Source organism: Homo sapiens, chromosome 20 (genome assembly GCF_000001405.40).
Source record: "Homo sapiens chromosome 20, GRCh38.p14 Primary Assembly".
Taxonomy (NCBI): Eukaryota; Metazoa; Chordata; class Mammalia; order Primates; family Hominidae; genus Homo; species Homo sapiens.
The window spans coordinates 3,731,000-3,753,424 of NC_000020.11; the positions used below are offsets into that span (position 1 = coordinate 3,731,000).

At 56.6% G+C, this 22,425-nt stretch overlaps 1 protein-coding gene across 10 annotated transcripts, besides 7 other annotated features; it reads left to right on the plus strand.

Moving 5' to 3' along the window:
* On the plus strand, positions 1,686 to 22,112 carry HSPA12B (heat shock protein family A (Hsp70) member 12B). Of its 10 annotated transcripts, XM_047439869.1 has the most exons (14): positions 1,686 to 1,795; positions 5,269 to 5,344; positions 7,659 to 7,718; positions 9,816 to 9,913; positions 11,285 to 11,409; positions 13,903 to 14,089; positions 14,494 to 14,598; positions 14,916 to 15,032; positions 17,218 to 17,392; positions 18,233 to 18,319; positions 18,751 to 18,855; positions 18,970 to 19,228; positions 19,805 to 19,908; positions 20,512 to 22,112. In XM_047439869.1, exons 3-14 carry the CDS (start codon positions 7,676 to 7,678, stop codon positions 21,165 to 21,167), a joined length of 2,061 nt encoding a protein of 686 aa, XP_047295825.1. In that variant the 5' UTR covers positions 1,686 to 1,795; positions 5,269 to 5,344; positions 7,659 to 7,675; the 3' UTR covers positions 21,168 to 22,112. The 10 variants fall into 10 exon arrangements, with proteins under 10 accessions (XP_047295825.1, XP_047295826.1, XP_016883124.1 ...); XM_047439870.1 differs by lacking the exon at positions 9,816 to 9,913; XM_017027635.2 differs by lacking the exon at positions 5,269 to 5,344 and having other exon boundaries at positions 20,236 to 22,112.
* Positions 1,748 to 2,327: an enhancer, noted in NCBI's record as "H3K4me1 hESC enhancer chr20:3713394-3713973 (GRCh37/hg19 assembly coordinates)". NCBI's record gives its function as "activates a minimal SCP1, AML or CMV promoter by ChIP-STARR-seq in naive H9 embryonic stem cells {active_cell/tissue: H9 hESC(naive)}" and the evidence as "EXISTENCE:reporter gene assay evidence [ECO:0000049][PMID:30033119]".
* Positions 11,252 to 11,779: an enhancer, noted in NCBI's record as "H3K4me1 hESC enhancer chr20:3722898-3723425 (GRCh37/hg19 assembly coordinates)". NCBI's record gives its function as "activates a minimal SCP1, AML or CMV promoter by ChIP-STARR-seq in naive H9 embryonic stem cells {active_cell/tissue: H9 hESC(naive)}" and the evidence as "EXISTENCE:reporter gene assay evidence [ECO:0000049][PMID:30033119]".
* Positions 13,436 to 14,346: an enhancer, noted in NCBI's record as "H3K4me1 hESC enhancer chr20:3725082-3725992 (GRCh37/hg19 assembly coordinates)". NCBI's record gives its function as "activates a minimal SCP1, AML or CMV promoter by ChIP-STARR-seq in naive H9 embryonic stem cells {active_cell/tissue: H9 hESC(naive)}" and the evidence as "EXISTENCE:reporter gene assay evidence [ECO:0000049][PMID:30033119]".
* Positions 17,794 to 18,346: an enhancer, noted in NCBI's record as "H3K27ac-H3K4me1 hESC enhancer chr20:3729440-3729992 (GRCh37/hg19 assembly coordinates)". NCBI's record gives its function as "activates a minimal SCP1, AML or CMV promoter by ChIP-STARR-seq in primed H9 embryonic stem cells {active_cell/tissue: H9 hESC(primed)}" and the evidence as "EXISTENCE:reporter gene assay evidence [ECO:0000049][PMID:30033119]".
* Positions 18,347 to 18,897: an enhancer, noted in NCBI's record as "H3K27ac-H3K4me1 hESC enhancer chr20:3729993-3730543 (GRCh37/hg19 assembly coordinates)". NCBI's record gives its function as "activates a minimal SCP1, AML or CMV promoter by ChIP-STARR-seq in naive H9 embryonic stem cells {active_cell/tissue: H9 hESC(naive)}" and the evidence as "EXISTENCE:reporter gene assay evidence [ECO:0000049][PMID:30033119]".
* Positions 18,347 to 19,000: a biological region, named in NCBI's record as "H3K27ac-H3K4me1 hESC enhancer GRCh37_chr20:3729993-3730543".
* Positions 18,771 to 19,000: a silencer, noted in NCBI's record as "silent region_12625". NCBI's record gives its function as "represses an Ori minimal core promoter by ATAC-STARR-seq in GM12878 lymphoblastoid cells {active_cell/tissue: GM12878}" and the evidence as "EXISTENCE:reporter gene assay evidence [ECO:0000049][PMID:35858748]".
* Positions 22,113 to 22,425: the final 313 nt, after the last annotated feature.

Consider the following 22,425-nt stretch of genomic DNA (forward strand, 5'->3'; position numbering starts at 1 on the left):
CACAGACACAGTCAGACAATCCAAGAAACACACTCACACATGAACAGACATATAAGCAAAGTCTTACACATACAAAGACACACTTAAGCACAGACACAAACACACCAACAGATGCACAGACGGACACACATAGACGCACACTGGGAGGCGGCCTGTGGAGACTGCTGATTGGATACCATGTTGGCTTGGTATCCAGAATTGTTGGTGCAGCGCACTCACCATGCCTGACCTCATTAAGGAGGCCCTCTGGGGCAGTGGCTCTGAGAAGAAAGGCAGCAAGCCTAGGGAGGTGACACTGTAGCTGGGGAGCATTTTGGCTGGGCAGAGAGGAGGAAGGAGAGCATTTCAGGGAGGGAAAATAGCCCTTGCAAAGGTTTGGAGTGGAAGAGCAAAAGGGATGTCCCAAGAACTGTGCCTCATTTGATGGGGCTGTGGGGCCCTTCTCTGACGGGCAGCCTTCCCAGGCACAAAGGGAGGTGGACTGAGAAGCATCTGGAACTTCTGTGGGGGCACATGGGGCAGAGGGGAAGGGGAACAGGCAGAACGAGTCAGCTGCCTTTGAAAGCTCCACGAGGGACCTAGCAGAAATTCATTCATTCATCCGTTCATTCATTTATTTATGACAGGTTCTCTCTCTGTCACCCAAGCTGGAGTGCGGTGGTGTGATCACACTTACTGCAGCCTCAAACTCTTGGGCTCAAGCAATCCTCCACCCCAGCCTCCTGAGTACCTAGGACTACAGACGTGAGCTACTACACCTGGCTAATTTTTAAAACTTTTTAGAGACAGGGTCTCCCTTTGTTGCCCAGGCTGGTCTTTGTTGCCCAGCCAGCTTCAAGCCATCCTCCCACCTCAGACTCCCAAAGCGCTGGATTACAGGCATGAGCCACGGGTTCCCAGCCCAGAAAGAGACCTTCACCCCACAAACCCCCTGTCTGGAGGCCAAGTCCCAGCATCCCCAGAAGGGCCCCGGTTAGGACAAGAAAAAGGCTGTGTGCCTCGGAGGAGAGGCTGGGTGCCCCCTGGTGCGGAGTGGTCCCCTTGCCGGGCATGGGGCCTCAGTCTGTGAGACTCCGCGCCTCCGTCGTCTGAACTTGAGCAAAGACAGAGCTAGGCCTAGCCTGGGGACCCGAGGGCCTGCCCTCATCCGCAATTCTGCCTCTTTTCTGGCCACTGAGGACCGGGCTAGGGAAGCTGTAGGGGCAGTAGGGGTGGGAGGAGAGAGGGTTCCGGGTCAAGGGACTGGAGGGGTCTGGGGCAGGGAAGTGGAGGGGTCTAGGGCGGGCCCTTCCCCCTCCGCTGTTGGGCCCTCGCTGAAGGGGCCGAGGCTGAGCCCCAAGGTGGGCCTGTGGGGGCGGGGCGGGGGAGCCCCTCAGCAGCTGGACCGCAGGAGGCCGACCAGGGTCTGGAACTCCTCTTCCCCTCCCTCCGCCGCCCCCTCTCCCTTCTCCCACCCCCTGGGCTGCTAGGGGAGCGGGGGAGGCGCAGGAGGGGCTCAGGGAGGGGCCCTGGACGCGGGACCAGGCTGGGCCCCTCGGCGGAGGCCCGCGCAGGCAGGCCCCGCCCCGGCCTCGCACATCTGGGCCGGGAGCGCGGGCCGACCCGGCGGCGCAGGCGGCGCGGCCATCCGGCCTGGGGGAGGGGGCGGCGGGCGGGGTGGGCGGCGCGAGGAGGCGGGAGGCCTCAGGGCCGGGCGCACGTCGAGGGCTGCGGCCGCCGCAGCGGGCACGGCCAACGAGCTGCGGGCCCGGGATCGCGGCGGCTGGACGGGGCTGGAGCTGTCGGGAGGGCGGAGGTGAGTTCTGGGGCGGGGGCTGCCGGGCGCCCCGAGTGGAGAAAGGCGAGGAGGTTTGCCGTCCCGGGCTGTCGGCTGAGACCCCACCAAAAACCTCCAGACTTTGTCTGGTGGGGACAGATCTGCAAGCCCCTCTCTGCAGCGTGGCTGCGGGCTCGGGAAGGCACTTGGGGCAGCGACCTTGGTCTCCCACCTGGGCTTCGGGGGACCACCTCCCCTGTCCCTCGCACAGCTGCTCAGAGGCTTAGGCTGGAGAAACTCCTGTGTCTTAGGGGCTGGCAGGACTGGTGTGGGCTGGGGCCTGCTCCAGGGAGCCAAACTGAGGGACCCGGTGCCTAGGTCTGAGGTGGAAACCTGGGAGTTGAGTGTATGTGTGTGTGTTGGGGGGTGCCTCAGGGGTCCCAGGCCCTGTGGTCCCGAAGCGCAACAGAGTACTGAGTGGCCCAGGTGCCAGGGTCTGAGGCTGGGACCTGGTCTTCCGGGCCAGCTTGAGGTCCAGGTGGGGTGGGGTCCAGGTTCCCGCTAGGGCAGTGGAGCCTATCTGTGAGGTTAGCGTGTGTTGATGAGAGAGACTGGAAGGGAGTGATCACGAAACTAGGGACCCTCCGGAGAGCAGACGCAGCGCAGGAATCCCAGGCCAGAGGGGTAATGGGGGGCTGTGGGCAGAGCATGGGAGGGGCTCTGTTGTTTGTGAACTGGCTGCTCCCATGATGAGGACCCAAGGGGGTGCGGCAGGATGTATGGAAAGCAAAGATGAGGACAGGGAGGGGCCATGGGAGGCCATTTCTGTCACTCCCTGCCCCAGCGCAGGATGGGGCAGCCACCTCACTCAGCCACACATGGTCCCATCTTCTTAAGGGCTCCTCTCCAGAACAGAGTGGGGCAGCCCTTTGGGTGCCGTTTCTGATCTGTGCTTTGGGCCCTGGTTGGCCCAGTCTGTGGCTTGGAAGAAACGCCTGTGGCCTCACTTAGCCCGCTGACGGAGTCCTGTTCCATTACAGGGCTGGCTGGGTGCTGAGCAGAGAGCAGCAGGCGGAAGAGGCAGGGTCCTAGTGAGGAGGGGAGCTGGAATGACCTGGGTGGGCTCTTTGTCTACACAGGCATCGTGTGGAGCCCTGAAACCCAGAACACTGCATTCCCATAGTGCTCCTGGGGACATGAGCGCCCAGCTGAAACACCCCACACAGGAAGAGATCCTCCGAGGATTCTGTCAGGCAAAGGGTTGGGCCCCTGCAAGGTGGCTCACGCCTGTAATCCCAGCACTTTGGGAGGATGAAGTGGGAGGATCGCTTGAGGCCAGGTGGTCGAGGCTGCAGTGAGCCGTGATCGTGCCACTGCACTCCAGCCTAGGCAACAGAGCAAGACCCTGTCTCAAAAAAAGGAGCGGGAGTGGGGGCAGGGTTCGTCCTAGGCTATTGTAAGACCAGGGGATACTCTGGGATGGGAGTCTCTGGTTGTGAGTTCCTGCTGGGCCACACCCTATCCTGGTCCCCAGTGACTAATCGGCCCTGCCTATTGGGTAGAAGTCAGGGCCAGGGGTCAGGGTGAAGCTGATGACTAGAGGTCAATATGAAGCCAAGAGTTAGGGGTCAGTCCATGGGCAGGGTTAGGGATCAGGCTGGGGCCAGAGTTTGGCATGTGCTTGTAGCCAGGAAATGGAGTTCCTTTCTGTGTAAATCAAACTGTCCCACTCAATTACTCTCAAACCCATAGGCACCACCAGTCTGAAATTAGTAGGCCCCTGAAGCGGGGCTCAGCCTCCCCTCATTTTCAGCTGTGGACTCTGCCCAGACCTAGCTTTCGGGAGCTGGGCTTGTCCCGTGTTCTGTGGTCAGCACTCTCCTTAAGTGTCCCTGGGTGTGTGTGCTCGCTTGGCAGTCAGCCACCTCTTGGCTTACCTCCACCTCTCGGGGAATCCGTGGGATCCTCCTTCTTTAACACAATTTTTTTTTTTTTTTTTTTGGAGACAGGGTCTCACTCTGTCACCCAGGCTGGAGTGCAGTGGTGTGATCATGACTTACTGCAGCCTCAACCTTCCGGGCTCAAGCAATTCTCCCACCTCAGCGTCCAAAGTGGCTGGGACTCTAGGCATGCACTACCACGCTGGGCTAATATTTGTATTTTTCGTAGAGATGGGGTTTTGCTGTTGCCCAGGCTGGTCTCGAACTCCTGAGCTCAAGCAATCCACCCACTTTGACCTCCCAAAGTGCTAGAATTACAGGCATGAGCCACCACACCCAGCCCTTAACACAGATTGATTTAGTTCCTACCTCCTTCCTTAAAGAACTCATGATGACTAGAATGCGATTCTCAGTAAGACCAAAATATCTAACAAGAAAATTCAGAATCTGCATCATGAAGGGAAAGAACACTGCTCAAACCTGCCCAACTCCCTGCTTTTATCAATACCTTGCATATCTGGACTTGTTAACATAAGCCCTCTGTGTCACCCATTCTACAGGAAAGGGCACTGAGGCACAGAGATGTGGCATGATGCACTCACGCTAGGTGCCATAATAGGCTCTTGCCATCCCTGAAACCCCAGCATAGGGGCACTCAGCATATCGCACAATGAGAGACGGTAGATAACTGGACAAGCTTCCGATAGCTGGGAAGAGTATAGGCCCATGGTTTGGATGTGGAATCCAGTGTAGAGCGAGGACTCAGTCTTTTTTTTTTTTTTTTCTTGAGATGGGGTCTCACTCTTCTCGCCCAGGCTGGAGTGCAATGGCGCGATCTTGGCTCACTGCAACCTCTGCTTCCCAGGTTCAAACGATTCTCCTGCCTCAGCCTCCTGAGTAGCTGGAATTACAGGCGTCTGCCACTACGCTTGGCTAATTTTTGTATTTTTAGTAGAGACAAGGTTTCACCATGTTGGCCAGGCTGGTCTCGAATTCCTGACCTCAGGTGATCCACCTGCCTCAGCCTCTGAAAGTGCTGGGATTACAGGAGTGAGCCACGGCGCCCGGCCCAGAGTCTTTTTTTTCTGGTGGTTCTAGGTTGTTTCTCCTCCAGATACAATAGCCTCGGTCCAGAAAATCCATTCATTCATTCAACAAAGTGGTTCCCCAGTGCTTAGCACAGAGCCTGGCATGAAGAATCTCGATAAGTGTTTGCTGAAGAATCAGAACAACATACAAATAAGGCTGCCAGCTCCTCCCTCGAGACCTTGATCCAGTAGTATGCTGGTTAATGGTTTCCAATCAGCTCTGGAAGAAGGATAAAATCCTGATTTATGGTGTTTGCCAATTTCTGTCTTGTAAATACTCCCAGCCATGACTGATTTGAAGCTACCAATGTGATGTCATTGAATGCAGAATTGGGAAGAGATAGAAAGAATCAGCTCGCATGAGCTGGTGGGACCCAGCTCAGCATCCCACTCCATCATCCTGAGCTGGGCTCTGGGCTCCTGCCCCTGGCTCCTAAGAACCCTCCCCTCCCCCTCTCTGTGCTTTCCCTTTTCTCCTCAACAGCCAGCTGCTATATGCATGCCCACAACCAGCACCCATCCTTCTTCTGATTCTGATTCCTGAGCATCCAACTCCAATGGTACAGAGGACAGCAAGAGTGTCTGGAAATCTCCATGGTGCTGGCCATGCAGGAGAATCCTGGACATACAAGAGTGTGTGGGAGTCCAGGTGTCTGTCCACAATGGGGCTGGTTTGTGTGAACTGTGTGAGCAAGGGTGTGTGCATGTGTCTATGGGCATGCCAGAGCCAGCTCTGTGTCTGCCTGTGTTCTATAGCAAAACTTTCAGATTGGGCCGCTGGTGACAGAGAAGGAATGCATTGGCCCTGCGTAGCCTCCTCCTTTGTTTAGAGGAGCAGCCAGGCCCACCAATGAGAACATAGTGTCAGTGGTCTGCAGACTGGCTGAGAGACACTGTTGAGCAACACTTCTCAAACTTCAATGTGCACCTGAATCACCTGGGAATCTTGTTAAAATAGGCCAGACGCGGTGGCTTACGCCTGTAATCCCAGCACTTTGGGAGGCTGAGACGGGCGGATCACCTGAGGCCAGGAGTTCGAGACCAGCCTGGCCAATATGGTGAAACCCCGACTCTACTAAAAATACAAAAATTAGCCAGGCATTTTTAGGTGGCATTTTAGGCAAATTAGGTGGCGCATGCCTGTGGCCCCAGCTACTTGGGAGGCTGAGGCAGGATAATCACTTGAACCCAGGAGATGGAGATTGCAGTGAGCTGAGAACTGAGATCACGCCACTGCACTCCAGCCTGGGGGACAGAGTGAGACTCTGCCTCAAAAATAAATAAATAAATAAATAAATAAATAAATAAATAAATAAATAAATATGAAATACATGTTCTGATTCAGCAGGTCTGGGCTGGGGCCTGAGGTTCTGCATTTCTAACAAGCTTCCAGGTGATACCAATGCTGCTGATCCTCAGCCCACACTTTGAGTAACAAAGCTGTTGATGGTTTGAAATATCCTGCCTATAGCCTGGCCCCAGAACTTCATAGACAGGATCGAGCCCCTCCCATCTTAGAAAATAAATATTCTTCCTCACCTCCCTTCAGCTTTAGCGCCCTCCAACTACTGCCCTCACATGTATTCCTGATTTCAGCCAAGCTTTTCAGAAATTCTAGCTCAATATGATTGCGTCACTACACTCCAGCCTGGGCAACAGAGTGAAACTCCATCTTAAGAAAAGAAGTTCTAGCTCATGTCACCTCTTGCTCACTCCTCACCTAAGCTTACCTCCCTTGGGCCACTAAAACAGTGTTTCCAGTCTCATCTGGGGACCTTTTACAGGGATCTAGCTTTACCCATCTCTTGGTACAATCTTCATGAGACCATGAGGCATCTCAGTCTCCTGGGCCGGTATATATTCCTCTGTTCAGCCTTTAAATGTAGGTTCTCCTCGTGACAGAGTGACACCCTATCTCAAAACAAACAAACAACGAAGGCCAGGCACGGTGGCTCATGCCTGTAATCCCAGCACTTTGAGAGGCCGAGGTGGGCGGATCACCTGAGGTCAGGAGTTCGAGAACAGCCTGGCCAACACGGCGAAACCCCGTCTCTACTAAAAATACAAAAATTAGCTGGGCATGGAGGCACTCACCTGTAATCCCAGCTACTGAGGAGGCTGAGGTAGGAGAATGGCTTGAACCTGGGAGGCAGAGGTTGCAGTGAGCCAAGATCGTGCCACTGCATTCCAGCCTGGGCAACAGAGTGAGACCCTGTCTCAGAAAAAAGAAAAGACAAATTGAGTCATGCCCCCACCCCACCCTGCCACCTCAAACCTTTCAAGATTTGCTGTTGCCCTTCATATAAAATCAAATCTGAAATAGGGTGCACAGGCCCTGCCTGCAGGGTAAGCCCAGCCCAGCCCTCTGTCCAGACTTACCATGTCCTCTTCCCACCCCGCATTATCCAACTTTGACCTTCCTAGCACTCAGCAACGCTTGTCATTTCAAAATCACTTGCCTGATTATCTCCTCCATCAGACCGTTGGTTTCTAGGGCAGGGACAGTGTCTCTCTGGGTCACTATCTCCCAGCACCTGGCACAGAGCAGGCACCAGAAAACATTTAGGAGGATCCTGATTCCAAGAAAGTAAAGCCATTTTTTGACACAAGCTGGGAACTGTGGGACTTTAGATGAGATTTAAGGAATTACTGTTAATTTCATTAGACATGAGAATGGTGTTGCGATGACATTGTTTAAAACGTCTTTATCTGTTGGAGAGATGTATTAAAGAGTTCACGGGTGAAACAACATGATGGCTGGGATTTGCTTCAAAGGACTCCAGCCAAAAGTAAACAAATAAAATAAATAAGCATTCAGATGAGGGAACAAAGGGACAAATAAATCCCACTCTGCTTGTCTGTTCCTGTTGACAGCTACAGGGCCTGCAAGGATGTTGGCTGTCCCGGAGATGGGCCTGCAGGGGCTGTACATCGGTAAGAACCCCCACCATTCTGCCCTGACCCATCACCCACTCACCCGAGCAGGCACTGAGACCCACCTACAGGTTGTGCAATGTACCTCTCCCACAGAGCTTCCCAACAGCTCTTCTGTGAGTGAGTGTGTGTGTGTGTGTGCATGTGTGCAGGGCAGGTCTGTGTTTACTGGACCCCCCTGTGTGTGCAGAAAGGGTCTGTGTGCACCGGTCTGTGTATGTGAGTATGTGTGCACACAGGACTGGTCTATTCACAGGACCCTCATGTGTATATGAGTGTGGGCTGAGTGCGTGTGTTTGTGTGTGCCAGAAGGGTCTGTGCACACAGGAGTGTATGCATGTGCGTGTGTTTTGTTCAGGCTCTGTCCACAGGACCCTGTGTGAGTGTGTCAGTGAGTGTGTGTCTCTGCGGGCAGGTCTCTGTGCACGGGATCTGTGTACGGGAGTATAGTCTGCAGGTGGGCATGCATACAGAGAGTTCTGCGTGTGCATGGAGGGTCTGTGTGCACAGGAGTGTTTGAATGTCCATGTGTTTTGTTCAGGCCATGTGCACAGGACCCCGTGTGAGTGCATCAGTGAGTGTGTGTCTCTGCGGGCAGGTCTCTGTGCACAGGATCTGTGTACGGGAGTATAGTCTGCAGGTGGGCACGCATGCAGAGAGTTCTGCGTGTGCATGTGCGTCTGGCCATAGCCTGGTCTGGGAGCAGGCTTGGGTTCTCCGCAGGGGTGGGAGGCCGGAGGCAAGAGGGACACTCCTCAGGAAGTCCATTCACAAAGACCTGGTGGGCTGGGCCCTTCCTTCCTGCCTCCCTTCCCAAGCTCGAGCCACAGCAACTTGGCCTCTCGGGCTGCAGCTGGTGGCAGGGCTGGAGCCTGCCCTGGCTGCCTGAGGAGAGGGAGCCCTTGAAATGTGGCCACTTTTTCCCTGCCCCTCCAGCACCTCAGACTCTGGCCCTGTCCAGGCGCTTCCCAGAGTCCCCCTCATGCCTGGCCCTTCGCCTGTGTTCCCAGGTTACCCCCAAGGCCAGGGAGAGTGGAGACCTGCCTGGCAGCACGTGACAGGACTGTGGCTGAGGGAGCACAGGGCCTGCCTGGCTCAGCCTAAGGCGAGCCAGACCTGCCTGATTTGTCCATGGAGCTTCCTACCAGATCTCACTCTCCCTCCCTAGCCAGCCTCCCTGGCCTGTCCATGGATATCAAGGCTGCCCCAGTACTCCTCACATGCCCCTTAGCAATGCCCAGTGTGGTGGTGGCAGCTACCAGCCAGGCAGGCCCTCCTGCCCCATAAGCCGCCTGATCCTCGGGGCGAGGCCTGGGGCTGTCCTCCAGGGCTACTCCACTCCCTCCCACCAAAGGTCCAGCTCAGTCCCAGGCGTGCAAGAGGGTCTTGATGGGGCGTCCTGCCCTGAAATGCTGGCTCAGGGTGTGTGTATGTGTGTGTGTGGGGGGTGGGAATCAGACTTCCTAATGTTGTGGACACCCCCAGTTCAGGACTGGGCTATCTCTATGGGTGTGGGAGGAGGTGCTCCCCCTCCTCGATCCTCCTCAAGCAGCCAGCTGGGCCTGTCTGTGGCCCTTGTGGGCATGGGAGCTGCAGAGTTCCCTCAAGTCCTGATTAGAACCACGTGGCCCAACTTTAGGGTGGAGGGGAGCAACCCCACCTCCTAGCCAGTTAGCTCTGTAGCTCCACCTTTTGAAGGAGGAGGGCTTCTCTCTCCTCTACTCCCTCCCAGGAGCTCACCTGCCCTATCTCCCCTGCCCTTCCATCTCTGGACTGAGTCTCCCTGCCACACAATGCTTTTCTGTCTCTCTCCCCTCCCACACTGTGTGTCTGAGGGGCCCTAGTGGGGAGACAGTGAGCTCCTGGGGAAAGCATGGGTCATCTGCTAGGGAAACGTTGCCTCTGACAGCAGACCCTCAGCTCCTGCCCCTGCGTCATGTGTGTCTTTCCTACACCCCGCAGTCCTCCTCCCCAGCAGAGAGCCCTTTGCCTTAGCCCAGCAAGGACTGATGGAGAACCTTTGGGTGCCTGGCTTGGGGCCCCGCTGCCATACCTACCCTGCTTGTGCCAGGATGAACTGCCGTCTCTTCTCTGCAGGCTCCAGCCCGGAGCGGTCCCCAGTGCCTAGCCCACCCGGCTCCCCGAGGACCCAGGAAAGCTGCGGCATTGCCCCCCTCACACCCTCGCAGTCTCCAGTAAGCCCAGAGCAGGGACCAGGTGGTGGGTGACCTGGCTGGTGTGGACAGGGTCGTGCGTGGCAAAGTCATGACAGGGCCTCAGCTAGGAAGGAGGAGGGGATGGGGGTAGCACCATGCCTCTTGTCCCCGTACACTCCAGTCATGTGCCCCCCAGAAGGATTGGCCTTGGGTGACCCTGGACTATAAAGGGTAACAATTCTACTGAGAAGGCGAGCCCCATGTAACTAACTCCCAACCCCCCCACACAGGAGGCACCCACGGCCATTGAAGCTGGCCTGGCTGAGGCAAGTGTTCCCCTGAGCATGTGGCTTTTCTAGGTCCCCAGAGCACTGGGCCTCTTGTGGACCACAGCCCACCTTAATCCAAGTCATATCTGAAGGAGAGGAGATGTGTTGCCAAAAAAAAAAAAAAATAGTCTGGAAACCATTAGCTTGGGCTGGGCATGGTGGCTCATACCTGTAATCCCAGCACTTTGGGAGGCCGAGGTGGGCAGATTGCTTTGAGCTCAGGAGTTCAAGAACAGCCTGAGCAACACAGCGAAACCCCATCTCTACAAAAAATACAACAATTAGCTGGGCGTGGTGGTGCACACCTGTAATCCCAGCTACTCGGGAGGCTGAGGGTGGAGAATTGCTTGAACCTGGGAAGCGGAGGTTGCAGTTAGCCAAGATCGCACCACTGCATTTCAGCCTAGGTGACAGAGTGAGACCCTGTCTCAAATAAAAAGGAAACTACTAGCTTGAAGTATCCAGGACACCACCTCCCCACCCCCAAGCTCCCTGGGTCACCCCACCTGGATGACCTTGCCCTGGTGATCCAGCTTAGGGACCCCCTTATTCTTAGGGGAGTCCAGCCCTGGCATAGGAGAAGGCACACACTTCTCTGGGGACATGCACGTGCCCTCTCCTCTCTGCCACAGAATCAGACAGTCTGGTTTGTGTCACTATGGCCACAAAGAGCAAGAGGATAAAATATATACACTGGTCCATGTGCTGTAAAACTGCCTGGAGGAGCAAAATTGCTCCCAGCTGGGCCCAGACTAATGGCTGCCTATGAAGATGGTGTGAGGTGGGGGTGGGGCTAAGGCAGTCCAGAGGGAGGGTGGGCAGAGGCTGGAAGCAGGAAAGCAGGAGCTTGAGCCAAACCCTGCCTGGGGCTACCTGAGAGACACGTCCAAGGCTCAGCCTGGAGCCTGGGAGGGCAAGGGAGCCCGAGCAGGTGGGCAGGTGGGGTGGGCCAGGTCCAGGGCTGGTCTGGACCACAGTCAGTGGAGGGGAGTGTCTTCCCCATGCAGAGGAAGCATTGGGGCTGTGGGGGATGGGGGTGTCCCTGCTGGCTGCTTGCTAATTCTAAGTCTTGCACTTGCAGAAACCCGAGGTCCGAGCCCCCCAGCAGGCCTCCTTCTCTGTGGTGGTGGCCATTGACTTCGGCACCACGTCTAGTGGCTATGCTTTCAGCTTTGCCAGTGACCCTGAGGCCATCCACATGATGAGGTGAGGTCGGCTGGGCTGAGAGAGTGAGGTGGGGAAGGTGGGGAGTTCCTCATACCTTGGTCCCAAAAGTACTGTCACCGAGACATGGGGTCTCCTTGGAGGCCCTGCCACCCCCAGTCTGGGGCTCCCCACTGGGGTAAAAGTTGGAGGATGGGCCCCAGGCCTGGGTCCTTGGCCTCAACTGGAGCAGCTCCCAACCCTCTGTAGGAAAAGTCAGACTTTGTTTTTAATTTTGAATTTTTTTGAGATATAACAAACATAACAATAAAATATGCAAATGTTTTTTATTTTCCTTTTTTTTTTTTTTGAGGCGGAGTCTCACTCTGTCGCCTAGGCTGGAGTGCAAAGGCACGATCTTAGCTCATTGCAACCTCCACCTCTCGGGTTCAAGCGATTCTCCTGCCTCAGCCTCCCAAGTAGCTGGGAATACAGGTGTGCGCCACTATGCCTGGCTAACTTTTGTGGGGTTTTTTGTTTTTTTTTGAGACGGAGTCTCACTCTGTTGTCCAGGCTGGAGTGCAGTGACGCAATCTCAGCTCACTGCAAGCTCTGCCTCCTGGGTTCATGCCATTCTCCTGCCTCAGCCTCTTGAGTAGCTGGGACTACAGGCGACCGCCACCACACCCAGCTAATTTTTTTTTTTTTTTTTGTATTTTTAGTAGAGACGGGGTTTCACCGTGTTAGCCAGGCTGGTCTCAAATTCCTGACTTCGGGTGATCCGCCAGCCTCGGCCTCCCAGAGTGCTAGGATTACAGATGTGAGCCACCAACCTGGCCTTTTTTTTTTTTTCTTTGAGACAGGGTCTCGCTCTGTCACACAAGCTGGAGTGCAGTGGTGTGATCATAGCTCACTGCAGCCTCAAACTCCTGGGCTCAAGCAATCCTCCCACTTCAGCCTCCTGAGTAGCTAGGACTACAGACAGCACCACCACACCTGGCTAATTTAAAAAAAAAAAAAAATTTTTTTTTGGAGAGACAGGGTCTCACTGTGTTGCCAGGGCTGGTCTTGAATTCCTGGCCTCAAGTGATTATCCCACTTTAGCATCCCAAAAATGCTGGAATTGCAGGCGTGAGCCACCATGCCCAGCCCACAAATATTTTTCTAAGCTTGTAGACAAACACACACATATACAAACATATATGTGTTTTTTTAAGTAAAAGTGAGATATACAACTTGCTTTGTTTTAAAGCTTCAACACTATTTTGTAGATATTTCATGTCAGCACATACGAAGCTACCACTTTCTTTGAACGGCCTAGTATTCCATAGTACAGATGTGTCATAATTTATCCATTCCCCTATTGACAGTTTTAGGGGGGTTTTTTCCTCCTCTCATTTTTCACTATTACAAAAAGTGCAGCAGTAATATCCTTCTTTGAAAACTTGTGCCGCAATCTCCATGGGGTAGATTCCTAGAGGTGATTCCTAGGTCCAACATCTCAAATCTTTTTTCTTTTCCTTTTTTAGTAAAAAGGAAAAGAAAAAATAATAAAACAAGAAATAAAAATAAAAACAAGAAAATGAAGGTTCTAAGGGCTGAGTTGACAAGTCACACAGTTGTTTTGAAAGACATGTTTCAAAAATCCATTCAAATGTTGGGTTTTATGTGGGACCTCAAGGACCTTGGGACCTCAAGACCCCAGTCCTCTGAATATGTCCTAGAGGGTCGGCAGGCAGTAGGTGAAGCTACAGGAGACCTCAAAGCTCTCAACCCAGACTGGGATGGGAGGTAAGAGGGGCTTCCCAAGGCCTGGAGACTGGATGGAAGGGTGAATGGAGACATAGACAGACAGGTAACTGCTCCCAAAATACATGGGACTTGAGCTTCATGAGACTGGACTGTCCTTCCTTCCACATCACAGGAAACCACAAAGGCTCTGAGCACTTACAGCCCTCTAGGAGCTGCAGGGCATCCCAGATGTCTTGCTGATCAACACACATGGCTGAGGCCATGCTGGGGCTAAGGACACATCCAGGAACACTGTCTCTGTCCTGTGGAGGTGACAGTCACAGGAAATAACTGGGGGACATTCCAGCCTCCTCCCAAGCTCTCTCTTCCCACCAGACACCAAGCCCCTAACATCTCTAGAATACCCATCTACTTCTCTCCATGGCCACTGATCGTGCCCAAGTTCAGCCCCGACCTTCTCTCACCTGGATGGCTGCAATATCCTCCTCCTTGGTTTCCTTTCTCCATGCTCCCTTCCCTGCATTCTGTTGCTCCATGGGAGCCAGTGACCTTTCTTTCTAAAGGCAAATGTGGTCATACCTCTTGGCTACTTTAAATCCACGAAGACAGAATTCTGAATGGCCTTCTGTGCTCTTCATGATCTCACCTTAGCATTCTTGTGTTTTCTCCTGCTGCCTATGGAGCCGACCCATAGCTAGTTCTCCCTGCTCTTTCACATCTGTAAGTTTTTGCACATGCTGTTCCCTCTGCCTGGATTCCCACCCAAGAAGGGAGGGTTGCACTGACTGCCCTGTGCCTCCGCAGGAAATGGGAGGGCGGAGACCCGGGCGTGGCCCACCAGAAGACCCCGACCTGCCTGCTGCTGACTCCGGAGGGCGCCTTCCACAGCTTTGGCTACACCGCCCGCGATTACTACCATGACCTGGACCCCGAAGAGGCGCGGGACTGGCTCTACTTCGAGAAGTTCAAGATGAAGATCCACAGCGCCACGGTGAGTCACAGGGCTCCAGACAGGGAGGCGGGGCCAGCATGGAAAAGGGCAGGGCTAATGGGGGTGGGTGGGACAAAACCAAAACGTGTGAGGACCGGCCCGATGGAGTCGTGGCTGAGAGGGGGCGGGGCTAAAGGGAGACGTCGGACTCCGGTGTGGGCGGAGCTCAGAAATGAGGTGGAGGCGGGGCTAATGTGGGTGGGGCTAATAGTGAAGCTGGGGTTGCAGGAGGGGTGGGGCTAAGGAGAGGGGTCGGGGCAGAGCTAATGTCACATGGGGCAAGAGTGGGACGGTGGTAAAGAGGAGGGGAAGCTCCAGGAAACGGGGTGATTTTAAGAGCGAGGTCGTCAGGAAATGAGTGCCAAGCTGAGGCCTCCTGCAGAGCCGCCCTGTGTCCCTGCCAGGATCTCACCTTGAAGACCCAGCTAGAGGCAGTAAATGGAAAGACGATGCCCGCCCTGGAGGTGTTCGCCCATGCCCTGCGCTTCTTCAGGGAGCACGCCCTTCAGGTGCGCTGCGGCCCCACCTCTGCCGACTGTGGCAGGGACCCCCTATTTTCCCCTCATCCGAAACCGCTCCCCCATCCCGTCCCCGACATTGGATGGGTAGCCACCGCCGGAGCTCAGAGGTCATCTTCTCCAGTACCCTCCTCCCTTTTTGTCTGGTAGAGCCTGCACCAAGCCATACTGATGGGAGGGGGGCCGATTCTTCCAGCTCTGCTGGGAAGTCCTTCCTGTGATTTGATTAGTACCTCCAGTTCCGCAGAGGGCTGAAGACCACCCTCCCTCCAAGCCAGCTTTCCTCTCACTGCCCCCTCCTGTACCAGGAGCTGAGGGAGCAGAGCCCATCGCTGCCAGAGAAGGACACTGTGCGCTGGGTGTTGACGGTGCCTGCCATCTGGAAACAGCCAGCCAAGCAGTTCATGCGGGAGGCTGCCTACCTGGTGAGGACGTGCAGGCGGGCCCGAGAACACTGCTCAGGAAGGGCCAGGCCTGTCCCCATGCTTGCATGCACCCCACCACCCTTGAGACCACAGAGTCATTGTGGAAAGAACTTCAGCCTGCTCCTGATGGGAGTTTGTAGAGTTGCTCCCACCAGAAGAGGGAGTGGGCCTGCAGGAACAGGGGACAGAGGGACAAAAGACACAGCCCAGGCCAGTGTAGACAGTGCCTTAAGTCAGGTGTCCTAAAAGCAGAGCCCAAGATGGAGAGTCTTTTTTTTTTTTTTTTTTTTTGAGACAGTCTCGCTCTGTCGCCCAGGCTGGAGCGCAGTGGCGTGATCTCGGCTCACTGCAAGCTCTGCCTCCCAGGTTCACGCCATTCTCCTGCCTCAGCCTCCCGAGTAGCTGGGACTACAGGTGCCCGCCACCACGCCCGGCTAATTTTTTGTATTTTTAGTAGAGACGGGGTTTCATCGTGTTAGCCAGGATGGTTTCAATCTCCTGACCTTGTGATCCGCCCGCCTCGGCCTCCCAAAGTGCTGGGATTACAGGCGTGAGCCACCGCGCCCGGCCAAGATGGAGAGTCTTATATGTGAGGTCTATTGAAGAAGGTTTCTCAGGAGAAAGGCGAGGGAGGGAGGCGGGACAGGAGAAGGAGCTATGAAGGATGTGGTCTTTGCTGGAGTCTAGCCTCAGGTTTAGCCTCAGCTAGATCCCATGGGGAGCTGCAGAGGGAGAACTGTAGCACAGAGTTGGGGCCGGCTTCTTGCACATCCGTATCGGTCTGTCACTGGTTCTGGGGAAATGGGAGGGAAACCTCTCCAAGTGAGGCCATTCCCATTCAGCTGAGGGCAGTTATCCAGAGGAGGTAGCAGCTGTGAGCCAATAGCAGCCAACACTCACAGTGGCAGGCAGGGCACCCAGAACATTCACTTCACTTGGCATCAGTATTTTGAGGGACACCCCCACCACCGCCCACCTTTGTTGGTTCTTGAGCAGGGGAAATAGGACTATGAAATAAAGGGAGGCGATTCTAGCCAATGCATACAGGTCTTCCTACCACTGAGATGCTCAAAGGTCTAGAGCAAGGAGTTGGGGGGGGCTCCCGTGGAGACAGAGAGGGCATAGCCTCAAGACTCATTGCTTGGTCGTAACCCTAGAGCCTTGGATACAGACCCTAAGCTGTCCAAAAGGGATCTCAAGCCTGCCTGTGGACACCCTGGAGGGACCCCCAATCCTCCCATACCTATGGGCCAGGCATGACCCAGGGCCAGGTCTGTAAATGTCTACACTTTTCACTGGAAGGAGCTAACCCTGAGCACAGTGGACATCCCTGTGCAAAGATCAGGACGGAAGCAAGGCTGTCCCCAGCCAGAACAAACACCTGCTCCCCCAGCGTCCCCTTGCCTATTTTCCCACCCTCCTTCTCACGCTGTTCCCTGGCTGCTCAGGAAAGTCTGGCCCTGGGTAAAAGTCTCCATTCACACCCTTATCCCTCTCCCCTATCTGGTCAGAATCTGGGGAACCCTACAAAACCATAATATACTTCCCACAGGGATCCCCTACCCTGAAGGAAATAACTCCAGATCTCAAGTGTTTTTCTCCACCCAACTGGCCTGTCTTGGTGCCTGGAATTTCAGCTTCCTCCCTGCTGTATCAGATTCCCTGGGAACAAAGTTCTCCTGGAAGTGGGGTGGCCTATGGCTACCGTCTGACACCAGCCTAGTGGAGAAAGAGGGTTCAATGAGCTAAAAGGGCTCCCCACCACCTCCTCTGAGCCATCACACACCCCCACATTGTGCTAGAGTCTCTGCCAATACCCCCAGCCAGCGCTCAGCTGGCCGCTTGTACCTGTGAAGGGGAACCTTGCTGCAGCCCCGCTATCTTGGGAAATTTGAAGGGGCAGATCCCAGGGGTTCTAGGTCTGCATTCTGTCTAGAGTCTTTTCCTGCTGGGCAACTTCTTGGCATATTTGGCCAGGGCCATTCCCTCCCCAGCCTGGTCACAGCGTGGCTATGAGGCAGCTCCAAATTTGTGCAGCACAGAGGGGCCTGAGAGGCCTAACATGGGTGGGGTGTGATGGAGGAGGAGGTGGGAGCCCCACAGGCCGCGGTTCCCCACCTCACAGTGCCATCTTAGGTGTGACAGCCCACAGTGCTGCCTGACCCTGCCCACCACCCATCCCCAGGCTGGACTAGTGTCCCGAGAGAATGCAGAGCAGCTACTCATCGCCCTGGAGCCCGAGGCCGCCTCGGTATACTGCCGCAAGCTGCGCCTGCACCAGCTCCTGGACCTGAGTGGCCGGGCCCCAGGTGGTGGGCGCCTGGGTGAGCGCCGCTCCATCGACTCCAGCTTCCGTCAGGGTGAGCTGCCCCCGGGGACACCACCCACCCCTGGAGGGTCAGAGGGTCACTGAAGCCAGAAGCTCAGCCATGTCTAGTATGAAGGGGAGAGGGTACCCACCCTGGAGGAGCCCAATTTGAGCAGGCAGAAACATGGCTGGTGGAGCCTGTCTGAGGAAGGGAGGCACAGCCCTGCCCAAGGGCAACCTCGTCTCAGGGTGGGACATGCCCTACCTAGGGCAGCCCAATCTCAGGGTGGAGATTTCACCTTGCCCTAGGGGAGCAAAGTCTGAGGAGGGCAGGACTCCGCCCAGCCCTGAGTCTGAGGGTTGGGGGAGACACAGACTACCCCAGGAGGAAACTGCTGGGGTACTGACAAAGGAGGAAGTCAGCCCACTGCATCAGCTGTCCCCTTCACTCCCCTCATCTTCCCCGACACACATCAGCCCCAAGCTCCTGCTGCCAGGACCAGGCACCCAGGCCAAGGACAGCTATGGTCATCCTCCCAAATGCCATCTCCCAGGGCAGGGAGAAGCCCTAAGTCCTGAGTCCCCTCTGAGACTCCAAAGACCTACCTGCCTCCGCTCCTCCAAACCCCTCTAACCCTGATTTTGCCATGACCTGAGACCTCCTGCGTTAAAGGAAGGCCCTGTGTCCATAAATATTTCCCCACAGCTGTTGGATACAGGGTGGGAGTTTGGGGTTCAGGATTGCCCTCTCCCAGTCAGGAGCAGGTTGGAGTTTCAGGAGCACTGGCTGCTCCCAGTGCCCATGGAGGTCCTGGGCAGGAGGATGGGAGTTGAACGCCATAGCTGGAGCACCTCCTTCTAATCTCACTCCCTGCTGTCTCCTGACCCCCAGCTCGGGAGCAGCTGCGAAGGTCCCGCCACAGCCGCACGTTCCTGGTGGAGTCAGGCGTAGGAGAGCTGTGGGCAGAGATGCAAGCAGGTAGGGGGAAAGGGGGACGGAGTGTTATCCTTGGCCCCTACCGGGCACCATATACTGATGGGGGGAAGGGCATGTTTGCAAAGCCCGTCTCTTCCTCCTCCATTCGCTGTACCCAACCTGGCCGTCCCCTCACAGTCACCCGCACCCCCACCCCACTCACAGCGGCGCCCCTAACTCCCACTCCTCCAGGGGATTCTCCGCGGACGCTCGGGTGGAGTTGCAGAGCCTCTGGAACCATTTCTGCCCCACACCCTGCGCCCATATGTGGTGGTCTGAGGTTCAAGCACCTGAAGCCCCTCACGTCCCTCCCCCGACCCTGCAGACAGGCCTTGGGACCCGGGGCAGGGCTGGAGGCTGGGCGAGGCTGGAGGGGGCGCAGGGCTGAGGGTGCGAGGCCGCCCACGAGTGTGTGCCCGCGCTCGCCGCCGCAGGAGACCGCTACGTGGTGGCCGACTGCGGCGGAGGCACCGTGGACCTGACGGTGCACCAGCTGGAGCAGCCCCATGGCACCCTCAAGGAGCTCTACAAGGCATCTGGTGAGTAGCCAGGCGGCGCCCCGGTACCCAGCGCGACCCGGGCTCCGGCCCCGCCACTGCCCCCTGGCGGCCCGGCGAGCGCTGACGCCCTCTTCGCCCCCTGCTCCACCCCAGGGGGCCCTTATGGCGCGGTGGGCGTGGACCTGGCCTTCGAGCAGCTGCTGTGCCGCATCTTCGGCGAGGACTTCATCGCCACCTTCAAAAGGCAACGGCCGGCAGCCTGGGTAGATCTGACCATCGCCTTCGAGGCTCGCAAGCGCACTGCTGGCCCACACCGTGCAGGGGCGCTCAACATCTCGCTGCCCTTCTCCTTCATTGACTTCTACCGCAAGCAGCGGGGCCACAACGTGGAGACCGCTCTGCGCAGGAGCAGGTGGGTCCTGAGCCCGCGGGCTCAGGCAGGGTTTGCCGACCCGGGAATGACCGTGCACTGGAGGGTCCCGGGCCCCAAGGAACGGTGGGGGTCTGCCTGATTCATCCCACATATACACTAAGCCAGCAGGGCGTCGGGGTGGGGCGGCGGGGAGCGGCGAGTGAGTGCCCCAGCCCAGCAGGCTCCACCCACGGAATCCGCAGCCCGAACTGGGGCAAGACAGAGAATCATAGCGGGGAGGCGGCAATGCCTATCTCCTCCCAGCCTTCTCTACACCCCCACCCCGGGCCCTGCGGGCCCATGCTCCTCGGTTTCCCTGCACCAAAGCAAGGGGAGGCCCCTCCCAGGACCTCGTACCTGGAACCTGGAGCAGGCTGGCAACTAAATCCTCTGAGTGAGTAGGGTGGAGATAAGGGACTAACATCCCGCAGGTCCAGTCCTCCAGACACCACGTGCAGTCGGTGCCCAGGCACTTCTGCCTGGAGGCAGAGGTAGAGAATAAGGACCACGGACCCCAAACTGGGGCAAGCAGCTGGGCCCTGACCGATGGATATTTGCCCCTTTCACCACCAACAGCGTGAACTTCGTGAAGTGGTCCTCACAGGGGATGCTCCGAATGTCTTGTGAAGCCATGAACGAGCTCTTTCAGCCCACCGTCAGCGGGATCATCCAGCACATAGGTGAGCACCTGAGCTTGGTCCCCCACCCGCCCCTACATGAACAAACAGATGCAGAATAATTCCCCCCCATCAGTGCCTAGATACCTCCACACATCCATACACTGTGATGAGACCTAGAATCATCTAGAACACCTGCGGGATGAAGTGCAGTGGTGATTAAGAGCTAGAGGGTTGATATGTAGTCTTGCCAAGGCAAAAAACTTCTGGTGCCTCAGTTTCCCCATTTATAAAATGGGGTGATAGTATTGGGTTCTCAAAACGTTATCACAGGGATAAAATGAGCTGAAGTACCTAGAGTGAGCACAATGTCTTGCACACAATGTCTAGGTGTTTAATACGTGTAAAATGCATATCCTTATCTCTCGTCCTCCACGTCGTGGTGGGAGAGAAGTGGGGAGCGTGAGTGTTGGGGAGGCGAAGCCCTCGAGGACTCCCGTGAGCTCTCAAAGAAAGTGCTCAAATGGCTACTTTCTAGTCGCCAGGTAGGTACAGGCTAGGGAGGGGAGGCGCCGGTGGCCGCCTAGTGGTGGCCTCAGTGGCTCTCTCTCCCCCGCCCCTTCTCCTCTGCCCCCTTCACCCGCGTCCCCCCGTCCTGTCCCGCAGAGGCCCTGCTGGCACGGCCGGAGGTGCAGGGTGTGAAGCTGCTGTTCCTAGTGGGCGGCTTCGCCGAGTCAGCGGTGCTGCAGCACGCGGTGCAGGCGGCGCTGGGCGCCCGCGGTCTGCGTGTCGTGGTCCCGCACGACGTGGGCCTCACCATCCTCAAAGGCGCGGTGCTGTTCGGCCAGGCGCCGGGCGTGGTGCGGGTCCGCCGCTCGCCGCTCACCTATGGCGTGGGCGTGCTCAACCGCTTTGTGCCTGGGCGCCACCCGCCCGAAAAGCTGCTGGTTCGCGACGGCCGCCGCTGGTGCACCGACGTCTTCGAGCGCTTCGTGGCCGCCGAGCAGTCGGTGGCCCTGGGCGAGGAGGTGCGGCGCAGCTACTGCCCGGCGCGTCCCGGCCAGCGGCGCGTACTCATCAACCTGTACTGCTGCGCGGCAGAGGATGCGCGCTTCATCACCGACCCCGGCGTGCGCAAATGCGGCGCGCTCAGCCTCGAGCTTGAGCCCGCCGACTGCGGCCAGGACACCGCCGGCGCGCCTCCCGGCCGCCGCGAGATCCGCGCCGCCATGCAGTTTGGCGACACCGAAATTAAGGTCACCGCCGTCGACGTCAGCACCAATCGCTCCGTGCGCGCGTCCATCGACTTTCTTTCCAACTGAGGGCGCGCCGGCGCGGTGCCAGCGCCGTCTGCCCGGCCCCGCCCTCTTTCGGTTCAGGGGCCTGCGGAGCGGGTTGGGGCGGGGGAAACGATAGTTCTGCAGTCTGCGCCTTTCCACGCCCTCCAGCCCCGGGGGAGATAAGGTCATGGGAGAGTGGGTGGGGACACACCCAGAGACTGGCTTTGGGATTGGGCACTGGTCCGCTGACTGCCAGGCTGAAGGGACCCGCCAAGGACTGAACGGGTAAGAGAAGAGGTTTGCAAGACAGAGCGCGCAGCCCGGCAAGGGGCATGTGACCCCGAAGGAAGAACGCAACAGAAGAGTCCTGGTCTGAACTTGGCCGAGTAGGGGTGGGGGTGGGATGGCAGGAGGAGCCGCAGGAGGAAGGAGGTTGTGCAGGGTCTGGACCTGCAGGGCTGAAGTTCACTCATCGACCGACTCAGCCCCAACCGGGAGCCAGGCAGAAAAACCCTGTGCCGTAGGAAAGTGACTGGAAGTGGACTCCAGAGGGACAGGTGTGGTGGCACAGTCCTGGTGTGGTGCTGACCACCCAAATATGACTGTGAATTGTGGAAAGGGCAGTAGATCTCTAATGTGGAGGTGGGAACATTATTGTGGTGGAGGCAATTATGAGGGTAGCATTTCTTTCGAGACAAAACACCCGTCTGGGAAGGCCCCAAGGTCAGCTTATGAAGGACCCCACTTGCACCCCACCCCAGCCATGGAAGAGCAGCTGGAGGGTGGATGGGGAGGCCAGAGGGAGCAATGAGGGGTGGTCCCAGCTCTGCTATTGACTCGGTATGCCTTTAGGACATTCTCTTACCGCTCATGGGCCTCAGTTTCCTAAAGTGTGAAATGTCAGGCACTTCCCTCTAACTGGCATGCAACAGCCCCACCTGCCTGAGAGCCCTGAGGTGACAATAAAACATTTATGCTCAAGGGGAAGCCACAGCCTGCTGATATGGCGTGGAGACCCTAATAGTGGGAGGAATGCAAGGGTTCCCGGTGCTAGAGAGAGAAGGGAGAAAGCTTTCAGCTGTGCATAGGGAACTGACCAGAAGGGGGTGCTGCTGTCTCCCATCAAGCATCCCAAACAACTCCACTGCTTAAGACCTCTCTGGCCTACACATGAGGTCCCTCTCTCCTCATTCAAATTAATTGTCTTGGCAGCCAGCTTCTGGCCTAAAATGCCACCACCTGTGCATACCTCTTGTGGGGCTAGGTGCTATAATACCACGCGGTGCCCCTGCCTCCTGAG

Coding starts and splice junctions, on each gene's coding strand:
- HSPA12B (XM_047439869.1), top strand. CDS start 7,676: ATGTTGGCTGTCCCGGAGATGGGCCTGCAGGGGCTGTACATCG. Junction 9,914..11,284: donor TCACACCCTCGCAGTCTCCA/GTAAGCCCAGAG, acceptor TTGCACTTGCAG/AAACCCGAGGTCCGAGCCCC. Junction 14,090..14,493: donor TGAAGATCCACAGCGCCACG/GTGAGTCACAGG, acceptor TGTCCCTGCCAG/GATCTCACCTTGAAGACCCA.